The sequence below is a fragment of the Homo sapiens genome, chromosome 7, assembly GCF_000001405.40.
Source record: "Homo sapiens chromosome 7, GRCh38.p14 Primary Assembly".
In the NCBI taxonomy this organism is placed as follows: domain Eukaryota; kingdom Metazoa; phylum Chordata; class Mammalia; order Primates; family Hominidae; genus Homo; species Homo sapiens.
This window is the reverse complement of record NC_000007.14, coordinates 121,959,039-121,971,547: the sequence shown is the minus strand read 5'-3', so window position 1 is coordinate 121,971,547 and position 12,509 is coordinate 121,959,039. Positions and strand designations below refer to the sequence as shown.

General features: G+C 37.7%; 1 protein-coding gene across 5 annotated transcripts in view; it reads right to left on the bottom strand.

The window, feature by feature from the left end:
- The window catches only part of PTPRZ1 (protein tyrosine phosphatase receptor type Z1), a 188,876-nt gene that overhangs the window by 90,489 nt on the left and 85,878 nt on the right, over positions 1-12,509 (bottom strand). For all 5 annotated transcript variants that reach the window (NM_001369396.1, NM_002851.3, NM_001369395.1 and 2 more), the window contains one exon: positions 3,418-3,597. In NM_001369396.1, coding sequence (NP_001356325.1) covers positions 3,418-3,597 — 180 coding nt within the window. The remainder of the gene's footprint in view (positions 1-3,417; positions 3,598-12,509) is intronic.

The window sequence follows — 12,509 nt, the reverse complement described above, 5'->3', positions numbered from 1 at the left end:
TTCCCCACTGTCATTTCAAGAGCCAGTGGTGAACCCAAGTAATGTGGCTCTATTAGCTCAATAATCTAATAACCACTCTCCCCTAAGAAAAACAAAACCCTCAACACTCCCCATAAAAATAGCCGCCTTCAGACCTACTGTCACCCTCTGTCATTGAATGATTTGGTTTAATTTCCATCTGTTTGGGATCTTATTTATAAAAACATAATCATCAGGCTATCCTTGAAATACCTCCTTCCCATTTTTCTCTGGTTATAAAGCCTAGCACATTTTATTGTTTAACAATAAGAAAAGGAAAACAGGGATTTCTATAAAGATTTTTGCTTACAATATATAATAAAGCAGAGGTTCCCAAAACAGTATGGTACTGGTACCAAAACAGAGGTAGAGACCAATGGAACAGAACAGAGCCCTCAGAAATAATACCACACATCTACAGCTATCTGATCTTTGACAAACCTGAAAAAAACAAGAAATGGGGAAACGATTCCCTATTTAAGAAATGGTGCTGGGAAAACTGGCTAGCCATATGTAGAAAGCTGAAACTGGAGCCCTTCCTTACACCTTATACAAAAATTAATTCAAGATGGATTAAATATTAAAATGTTAGACCTAAAACCATAAAAACCCTAGAAGAAAACCTAGGCAATACCATTCAGGACATAGGCATGGGCAAGGACTTGATGTCTAAAACACCAAAAGCAATGGTAACAAAAGCCAAAATTGACAAATGGGATCTAATTAAACTAAAGAGCTTCTGCACAGCAAAAGAAACTACCATCAGAGTGAACAGGCAACCTACAGAATAGGAGAAAATTTTTGCAATCTACTCATCTGACAAAGGGCTAATATCCAGAATCTAGAAAGAACTTAAACAAATTTACAAGAAAAAAACAAACAACCCCATCAAAAAGTGGGCAAAGGATATAAACAGACACTTCTCAAAAGAAGACATTTATGCAGCCAACAGACACATGAAAAAATGCTCACCATCACTGGCCATCAGAGAAATGCAAATCAAAACCACAATGAGATATCATCTCACACCAGTTAGAATGGTGATCATTAAAAAGTCAGGAAACAACAGGTGCTGGAGAGGATGTGGAGAAATAGAAACACTTTTACACTGTTGGTGGGACTGTAAACTAGTTCAACCATTGTGGAAGACAGTGTGGCGATTCCTCAGAGATCTAGAACTGGAAATACCATTTGACCCAGCCATCCCATTACTGGGTATATACCCAAAGGAATATAAATCATGCTGCTATAAAAACACATGCACATGCATGTTTATTGTGGCACTACTCACAATAGCAAAGACTTGGAACCAATCCAAATGTCCAACAACAATAGACTGGATTAAGAAAATGTGGCACACATACACCATGGAATACTATGCAGCCATAAAAAATGATGAGTTCATGTCCTTTGTAGGGACATGGATGAAGCTGGAAACCATCATTCTCAGCAAACTATCGCAAGGACAAAAAACCAAACACCGCATGTTCTCACTCATAGGTGGGATTTGAACAATGAGAACACTTGGACACAGGAAGGGGAACATCACACACCTGGGCCTGTTGCGGGGTGGGGGGAGGGGGGAGGGATAGCATTAGGAGATATGCCTAATGTAAATGACAAGTTAATGGGTGCAGCACACCAACATGGCACATGTATACATATGTAACAAACCTGCATGTTGTGCACATGTACCCTAGAACTTAAAGTATAATAAAAATATATATATAAAAAGAATAAAAATAAAAAAACCAAAGCAGAGGTTCCATGCCCTACTGCTTTCTAACACCCTTCAAAACTGAAAATAATAATGTCAAGATTTGGGACAATATACTTTTAGGTAATTATTACATGTAACATAATAATTTTAAAAATTATTCATTCAAGAAATACTTAGTGTTTATTACATATCAGGCACTGATGTAGAAAAATCTCTACTTTCATGAGATTTTTTTTTTTTTTTTTTTTGAGACAGAGTTTCGCTCTTGTTGCCCAGGCTGGAGTGCAATGGCACAATCTCAGCTCACTCAACCTCCGACTCCTGGGTTCAATCAATTCTCCTGCCTCAGCCTCCCGAGTAGCTGGGATTACAGGCATGCACCACCATGCCTGGCTAATTTTTTTATTTTTAGTAGAGGTGGGGTTTTGCCATGTTGACCAAGCTGGTCTTGAACTCCTGACCTCAGGTGATCCACCCACCTTGGCCTCCCAAAATGCTGGGATTACAGGCGTGAGCCACTGCGCCCAGCAGGAGTTGTTTTTTGTTTGTTTGTTTGTTTTGATTTGATTTTTTGGATAGGATCTCACTCTGTTGTCCAGGCTGGAGTGCAGTGGCATGATCTTGGCTCACTGCAGCCTCCAACTCTTGAGTTCAAGTGATTCTTGTGTCTCAGCCTCCTGAGTATCTGGAATTACAGGAGTGTGCCACCACACCCAGCTAATTTTTGTATTTTTAGTAGAGATGGGTTTTTGCCATATTGGCCAGGCTAGTCTGGTACTCTTGACCTCAAGTGATCCAGCCACTTCGGCCTCCCGAAGTGCTGGGATCACAGGCGTGAGCCACAGTGCCTGACTACTACTCTCTTGAGTTTTGAAATTAAATTATTATGTTCAAATAATTACATTACCTAAATATAGAAAATATAAAAAAAATTCACCAATGATAAAGCTTATCCCCATAGAGCTACTATTATAATTTTGAATATTTTTCTAATCTTTGTCTTACGTGTATATTTGCCTTTACATAATTTCCCAAAATACAATTTTTAAAAAAACTAGAATATCAAAAAAGAAAAGGTGTCACTTTTTGGAAATTATTTATCTATGTATAGCTTATTAGAATTTGTACTTAAATTTTAATGTATTATATTTTGCTTTTTTTTAAAAAAAAAAAAAGATAGGCTCAATAAAAAGACACTTAGAGAGGGTTTCCTAAGGATGGGATACAACTTTAAACCTTCTATATAGAAGAGCTAGGAATTTATTTTCTTAAATTTCAATTATAGCCAATTGCTTTTTTCATATCCAAATACTGACTATAACATGAGGCTAGGCAGAAAAGATCAAACTATAATGCTCAAGAAAAAGAAATCCTGATTGACTAAGTAATTGACTAAATTATATTAGCTGTAAATCACATTATCACATCTTCTAGAGGCAGCATCATTATTGTTACCTTGTAGGAAAACATGACATGATGACATTGGTCATTTTTTTTTTGTACAAATTGTCAAAATATTGTCTAAATTTCCCATTTTCTCTGCTCCATTTGGTTTCTTCTACATGTAACTTCTATCTAGTTCATAGTACACTATTCAAAGGAAAATGAGATGAAACTAGTCTAAACATACTCCAGGTCTGAAAAATATATTAAAGGCAAACAGAATGCAAATATTTTACCTGTTTTCCCAGTGTTATGAATGAATGTGTTTTCCAATGATGTTTTATCCCAACCCTGAAATTTAAGTTTCTTAAGATTCACATTTACTTGTGTAAGATCTTCATCAATATTGATAGGAGATTGTTTTGGGCTATTACATGTTGGATATTTCTTTCCCCAATTTTTTTGATTCAGTGCTCCTAGGGAAAAGAAGGAGTAAGAAATTTAGTTTCTTAAATTACCATGCAAAAATTAAACTTTACATTATAGTTAATACATTACATAAAAATAGATGCAATAGTAGAAAAATGTTTGACATCTTTGAACTAATGCATGAAATAATTATGCCTGTATTTAGATTCTGGATTTCAATACGAAACACTACAAAAGGTCTGTAGAACAACCATGCCACTATAAAAAAACAAGTCTATAGAACAACAACCAAGGTTTGGTACAACTTTAGTCTACAACATCTTCTTTTTGTGATCAGGGAGTCAATGAGAACTAACTTTTATGCAAGCTTGATCTAATGGCCACCTCTCATAATGTGACAAGTTCAGGGTTCAGCAATGGCTTTGTCCAGTCATCACAATTCTTTCAAATCAACAAAAAGCTTAATTGTCCTGTAAGGTAGTTAGTCCTAGCCCAGGATTCCAGATTGAAAGGAATCCAGATATAGGAGTAAAGTTCTGACTTCCTCAACACTCTCCATAAAAGTAGCTGCCTTCAGACCTACTGTCACCCTCTGTCATTGAAAGATTTGGTTTAATTTCCATCTGTTTGGGATCTTATTTACAAAAACATAATCATCAGGCTGTCCTTAAAATATCTCCTTCCCATTTTTCTCTGGTCGTAAAGCCTAGCACATTTTATTGTTTAACAATAAGAAAAGCAAAACAGGGATTTCTATAAAGATTTTTGCTTAAAATAAACTAAATTTTCACATGTTCCACAGTATGAAGCGTCCTCTAAACCCAAACTGCCCTTTGTTGCCTTTATTTCACCCCTACCTGAAACCATGAATCACCTCCCGTAATCTTATTTCACTGCATGTTAACTTAGCACCCAAGCAGTGCTAAGCACAGGTATATTCTACTTAAAGTTCTTTTAAAACATTTGAAATATTGAGAGTCCAAGTCTCTGGTTAAACGCTAGCATTTCCATGGCCATCACAAGGAAGAAAGGAGTGGCAGTGTAGTTTTCATTTTATATTCTTCTGAATGCTTTTCTTTCTGAAAATGAGAACGGGTAAGGCCAAGATTTTACATGATTGAGGTTTAGGGGATTATAAGTAAATTTATCTTTGATAAAATCCTAGTCTACACTGTCTTCTTTTGTGATAAGTGAGTCAGTGAGAACTAACTTTTATGCAAGCTCTATCTAATGGCCACCTCTCACAATGTGATGAAAATAACATTGCATAATTTTGCCCTGAAAATAAATAATAATTAGTCACACCATGAAGCCGTCTATACAGTCATGGAAAATCTGGTAATACATCTCATAGTGAGGCATCAACCAGAATCAATAGGTACTGAAAATCATCTTAAAGTCTAGGTCTGTACCCAAAGAGTGTTTGAATACATTGTGTTTTAAATATGCACAGTGATGTGTATTTTGGATTCTAGGAACAGTTTTAATGATTTGAGTAATGATGTTTATTTCACTGTAAGGAACTCTGGCATAGGGACAAGAAAACACTGCTTATTTTACTAATGTCAGTGCAAGAGAATGAAAGAGAATCTGCAGCACAAATCAGTTAGGTCCTCTTCATTGCTCACATTTTTAATACAATATAATAAATTCTAAGCACACTTAGAAAGAGTTACATAGTTGTGGTGCACAGAAACAAAATTTTAAATCTTCAATAACACTGAATATAATGTATAAACCTGCTATTTTCCATCGCATTTTGTGATTCTCTCTACTGGGAACCTAAAAGGCATCTTATACTTAGCATATCACAAACTGAACTCTTTTCTGCTCTGAAATAAGCTCCTTCCACACAGTCTTTGACATCCCCTGAAGTAAGAAGTTATCCTGATGCCTTTGTTTCTCCTTCAGCAAGCTCTTTAGGGTCTGCCTTCAAAATATTTCCCTAATCAGACCTCTTCTTATCTCTACTATTACCACCCTAACCCAAGTCACTGTCATCATTTGCCTGTACCTTGCTACTCTGCAAGCAATATCGCCATCACCTAGGAGTTTGTTGGGAGATTCAGGCCACTATTATAGCCTTATGAAGTCTGAATCTACATTTTAACAAAATGCCTAGGATATTGATATACACATTAAACTTGGGGAAACACTGGCTTAGACTCCACTAGTGCCTTCTATCTGGTTTTCAGAATCTTCTCTTGCTCCTTTCACAATTCTGTAGTAGTACCACCTATGTAGTAAGTGGAATTATGACTTGGCTCCCAAAATTTCCACCCTATGATGTAATCATCCTGTACAATTCCCTCCAATTGGGCATGAACAGGACTTATGAATATGAAGAGAGAGTCGCTTCCTTGATTAGGTTAAATTTGTTGGCAAAGAGGATGGTGGATTACTGCTGTGATTGATTACATTATGTTATAGAAAGCTCCATTTCAGCAAATTGGAGAAAGACTCAAAATGTAGGAGATTTCCTTGCTAGTTTTGGAGAAGTGACCTACCAGGTTGTGAGCTGGCGTGTGGCTAAGAACTGAGACCTGCCTCTGGGAGCTGAGAGCATAACCAGGCTTATAATCACAAAAACAAAAAACAAAAAACACCCAACCAGTGAAACAAACAAACAAACAAACAAACAAACCACAACAACAAAAATCAGGGACTTTAGTCCTACAACTTCCAGGAAGTGAATTCTGCCAACAACCTAAGTGAATTTGGAAGAGGACCCCAGGCTTCAAATGAGACACCTTAATTTCAGATTTGTGAGACCCTAAGCAGAAAAGCCAGCTAAGCAGCCCTTCCTCCTCAGCTCCTGACCCACAGAAACTGTGTGATAACACATATGCAGTATTATAAGGTGGTAAATTTGTAGTAATTTGTTATGCAGCAAAAGAAAACCAATTCAACTCAGTAACTAAAGTACACTTTAAAAATATATGCCAGATCACATTACTCCTTGGCTACAATGCTATTTCATCTCACTCAAAATAAAACATGAGCTCCTTGTTATGGCCAACAGATCCTATATGATGTCCCCGCTCATGTCCTCTCTGCTCCGGTTCTCTACCATTCTGCTTTGATCACTCTGCTCCAGCCACACTGGCTTCCATTCTGTCCCTTGAGCATGCAAAAGCTTGACACTGGCTATCACCTATTCCCGCAATACTCTCCACAGATGTCTGTAAGGCTCAAATGACTTGCTTTCTAACTTCAATCAAATCTCTCCTCAAAAGCATCTACAGGAGAGACTTTCGCTGAACCACCCTGTTAAATAGTATACTTCCTCCCTTGGTAACTCTCCTTGCCCTCTCCCTGCTTCATTTTTCTTCTTTTAACATATTAATTATGCTCATTCATTGTTTCTACATCCCAGTACTTCAGAAAAAAAAAAGACTAGCACATAGTCGGTGTTTGATATGGTTTGGCTGTGTCCCCACCCAAATCTCATCTTGAATTGTAGTCCCCATAATCCCCACATGTCATGGGAGGGACCACGTGGAGACAATTGAATCATTGAGGCGGTTTCCCCCATCCTGTACTCATGACAGTGAGTTAGTTCTCATGAGATCTTCTGGTTTTATAAGGGGCTTCCCCCTTCGCTTGACTCTGATTCTTCTCTCTCCTGCTGTCTTGTGAAGAAAGACATATTTGCTTCCCTTTATACCATGATTGTAAGTTTCCCGAGGCCTCCCCAGCCCTGCGGAATTGTGAGTCAATTAAACTTCTTTCCTTTATAAATTACCCAGTCTCAGGTATGTCCTTATAGCAGCATGAGAATGAACTTATACAGTGTTCAATAAACATTTGTTGAATAACTGAATCAAACCAACAAGAAGTGGTGGCCTTTTGTTTTATGAGTTTGAGCTCGTAAGGATCAAATATAACATGGCATGAAAATGAAAAAATAACCAAAAAAATTTGATCAATAAGAGAAGCATTTCTTTACTCAGCTGTAGGTCTCATTTGATTGTTACATGATAATTTAGTTGAGTAGTCCCTACTAAACTTTTATGGCTAGGTATCAGAGATACCTGAAGTCTGAACTACACGAGGTTAGGACAACATATAGCGCAATGACACCAGGTAACTAGATTATGTTTAAAGTGCATGGAATGATTACACTGAGTGTGGACCAAATTTAAATCACCTACTAGATCATAGTGAGGCAGGATAGGCAGTCAAGGAAGTGACCATGTTCTTGGGATGGGGCAACCATGGTGATCATACAGTCAGCACAATAAACCTCAGTATTTGCATTGTAATTGAGCTCATTCAAGCAAAGCTATCTTCAATAGGGCCTTTCCCTTCTAGAGAGCATGCATATTTTGATTTTACCTGTCCCCAAACTGACCCTATGCTCATTATAATAGTAAAAACCACACCCCTGGGTGGAGTTTTAAGATGCTAATGAAACATGCAACATATGAACAAGCATGTACAGTTACTGCACATGTGCACCAGAAGACCACCCAGAACATGCTTACTAGTAACACCTCTTCCCACCTCCTTATGAATCATCTTTTAAAACTCCCAAAAAGGGAGTCTTATGCTTATTCATTATTTCAACATCCAAGCACTGAAGAAAAAACGAATGACACATAGTAGGTGTCTGATATGGTTTGGCTGTGTCCCCACCTAAAACTCCCTAAAAGGGTGTCTCCCTAGTGCCAGTTTTTGCTGTCTCACCCTTACAAGCAGCCTGTCCTGACTTCTTTCTCTCTCAGGGTATACTGTTTATTCTGCACCTAACTTTCAAAATATCTTTATCCATTGTAATAAATTACTCTATGCTACACCTCCTTTGCTGTGTAGCTCTTGTTTAAACTATTTTAAACCAAGAAGAACTGAGGTATCACTTCAGCTGTCAACAATAGTACTTAGTACCTTGTGGGCTCAACATGCTTTCTTAATTTTCATGATTAAAAAGCAAAATAAAAGAGGCCAAAATAAAACTTAAAAAATGATTTTTTTTTTAGTGGAAAAACCAACAAACAGAAAAATAAACAGAAGTTGAAAAAATAAGAACTTGAGATTCTTCATGCAAAGCACTCTAAAAGAAAGACTGTTTCAAATCACCACGAGTAGAAAAACAAAGGAAATAAACTAGTGAAGTGTTAATATTGTGCACAGGAGCTGGGTGTGGTGACTCACACCTGTAATCCCAGCACTTTGGGAGGCCGAGGTGGGCGGATCACGAGGTCAGGAGTTCGAGACCAGCCTGGCCAATATGGTGAAACCCCATCTCTACTAAAAAATACAAAAATTAGCTGGGTATGGTGATGCGTGCCTGTAATCCCAGCTACTCAGGAGGCTGAGACAGAAGAATTGCTTGAACCTGAGAGGTGGAGGTTGCAGTGAGCCAAGATTGCACCACTGCACTCCAGCCTGGGCAACAGAGCAAGACTGTCTCAAAAAAAAAATTGTGCACAGGAATAAAACAAAGACAAAAGAACCATTAAATACATTTTATCTGCTTTAATAATGAAACATTAGACTAATCTTATTCTAAAACATTATTATTATTATTATTATTATTATTATTATTTTGAGACAGAGCATCTCTCTATTGCCCAGGCTGGAGTGCAGTGGTGCAATCTCTGCTCACTCTAACCTCTGCCTCCTGGGTTCAAGTGATTCTCCTGTCTCAGCCTCCTGAGTAGCTGGGATTACAGGCAAGTGCCACCACGCCCAGCTAACTTTTTGTATTTTTAGTAGAAACAGGGTTTCACCATGTTGGCCAGGCTGGTCTTGAACTCCTGACCTTGTGATCCTCCCGCCTCAGCCTCCCAAATGCTGGGATTACAGGTGTGAACCACTGTGCCTGGCCTTAAACATTACTTTTTTGAATTCCCAAATTAATATGTTTAATGTGGCAACTGGAGACATCAGTTCATATAGTGGTTAAAGGCCAGGATGATGCATCTGAGAAAGCAGGTATACAGAATTCACTATATTGTAGCCACCTGAGTGTTATTAGGAACTATTGTGAAGGAAGAAATTAGGACACTGCCTGTAGTTGCAGCAGATTATCAGGCTGATTAACACATAAAGAGGACAGCAGAATACTAAATAGGAGCTCCAGAGAATTAACCTAAGTTATTCATTTACATATTTATCCATGCTTTCATCCACTCATTGACTTACCTGAATTAGTAACACTCCTATAAATTTCCCATGCTTACCTCCACTGAAGCACTTAACATACTGTATTTTGTCTGTTAACTTGCCTATTTCATCTACATGCCATTGCCAAACTCTGAGTCTGGCATATGTTAGAAATTAAATGCTTGTGAAATAGACTTTGTGCATCAAATGAATGTCTTCAATATTTGCATACGTATGCATCCTCTATTCCAAGCGGAATGGAAAGCAATTCTAGGCTCCGCAGGGGATACGCATGAGTTCAAGTTTGTTAGCTTGCCTGTGTGTTTATTATTACATTCCAGAAGGGTGGGGGTCTGTTAAATAAATAGACAAATGCTAAAAAGGAGTAGATGCAATGAAGGAAAGTAAACATGGATAACAAGACACACTAATGCAGGCCTTGAAGGATGGACAGAATTATGACAGGCAGAGGAGAAACCAAGCACATATCTTGCTGAATGATGAGCCTGAGCAAACTCATGGTGGCAGAAAAGTTCAGGCAATGCTGACAGCAGTGAGCAGGCCAGCTTAGTCCAATGAGCAGAGTGAATGCAGGGGTATTCTACAGAGGGAGACAGAAAGGCAGATTATGATCCATGTGCCTGGGGAGACCAGTGAGAGGCAGGGAGGCTTTGGAAGAGGAAGGAGCTCATAGATGTCTCATCAGAGAAACTAAGCAGGCAGGAATGCAGGATAGGCAGGAAGGGAGAGGCTGCGTAATGACCATTTTCATAGACATCTCCTATTTGTCTTAATTTGATTTTTACAGCATCACTGTACTTATTTAAACTACAATATGTCTGTCTCTTATTTATGTTTCTTTAATGGAAGAAAATGTTTCAGTACCTTTCTTAGAGCCTGGCACTTAAGAATTAAATCAACGTTTGCTGAACGACAAAAAAAAAAAATGCTTCAGTGAGATAACCGTAGTTAGCACCCTTTAATGTTCATGTGCTATACATATTTGACCAATTAGTGTTCCAGATAGAAACATACCTTAAAAAACATTGTGTGTGAGGAAACGTTACTCCACCAGCCATTAACACAAGAATATGAACTAAGAAAAACTAAAGTCTAACAGGGGAAATGTGTCAGAAAAAAATACCAATGCAGGTTTTTGAATATTTGAAGGAAAAAATGATTAAATTATGCAGATGAAATAAAAGTCAAAGAAAAAAATTAATGTTTCCCTCTTATTTTCTCTCATTTTTGCATTGTTCTTGTTGAGTCTTACCTTCAAATATCAGATTAATGGAAAAATAATTATAATTGTTTGTAAGTTATTCAGCAGAGATCCACTGAAAATTAATAGATATATAATAAAAATCTCAATGTTGATTTCTTTTAAAGATTCCTATAAATTGCTATTTAATCAGATTTTAATAACAGTATACATAGAACTGATTCTTTAAAGATCAAGATATTGTTAAGAAAAAATATATATTACTTTCATTCTTAATGAATTTCTTGTGTAGTCCAGGTTTTGAGGTAAGAAAATGTTTGTGTCTCAGCTAGGCGTGGGTGGCTCACACCTGTAATCCCAGCACTTTGGGAGGCCAAGATGGGCAGATCACCTGAGGTCAGGAGTTTGAGACGAGCCTGGCCAACATAGTGAAACCCCATCTGTACTAAAAATACAAAAAAATTAGCCAGGCGTGTTGGCGCACGCCCGTAATTACAGCTAATCGGGAGGCTGAGGCAGGAGAATCCCTGGAACCTGGGAGGCGGAGGTTGCAGTGAGCCGAGAGCATGCCACTGTACCCCAGCCTGGGTGACAGAGCAAGACACCGCCTCAAAAAGAATGTGTCTCCACATATTCACATATAAAAATATTCTGAAAAGGCAAAATAAGTGTAATATTGAAGTGAAGACTACAGTAATCTTCATAGCATCTAGCACCAGTTGCCTTGAATAAACTCTACTTAGTGCTCCATACACTGTAAGTCATAGCTTTATAAATTACCTTGGGCTTGCTTTCTACATGCTAACAAACATACCCAAACACCAAAATTAAAAAGTCATTTAAACAGTATAAAGCTATCAGTGGTGAGTGACTTGGATTCAAATTTTAGTTTAATAAAATACAAAAATGAAGTAATTCAGTATTTTTTCAATGATAAGTAGCATAAAATTTAGAATTCCAGCAAAATGGAAAGATGATATACTTAAGAAGACACTTTTTAGATGCAAGAGTTAGCTGTTTGAAAAAAGGGGCTTCCTCAAAGATAAGAAACTAAAACCAAAAGCTGCTGAATAACAATCACTAACAGATTATATGTCTTAATGATAAATGCCATCACATAAACTGACTCAAAGCAAAGGAAGAGGGATGTCTGTGACAACTTCTCATGTTGAAAATAAGAATGAGGATGTGTTTCCATGCACAAATCAGTGTGCCTTTTTGTGTTTTTGGCCAGAGGTTTCTGCAGCTAGAAAGAGCAAAGCAGTTGCCCAACGTTGATTATAGCTGCTATTAAAACTGAAATAAAGGCAGATCAAATGCAAACAATTTCAGAATGAGAACCTGTTTCGTCAAACTACATTTTCCTTTGTTTTCTGTACTAATGGGACAATCACATCAGGACAGCAAAAAATCTTTTCAAGTCTGGCTGATATATGCTATTGGCAGGGGGTTACAGGTCAGAGAAGGTAGTTATCAATTTATTTAGGAAAATTCTAGCACAAATTCCTTTTAGCATTATGATATTTAAGAAAGTCATTAACTAGGGGCCGGGCGTGGTGGCTCATGCCTGTAATCCCAGCACTTTGGGAGGCCGAGACGGGCGGATCACGAGGTCAGGAGATTGAGACC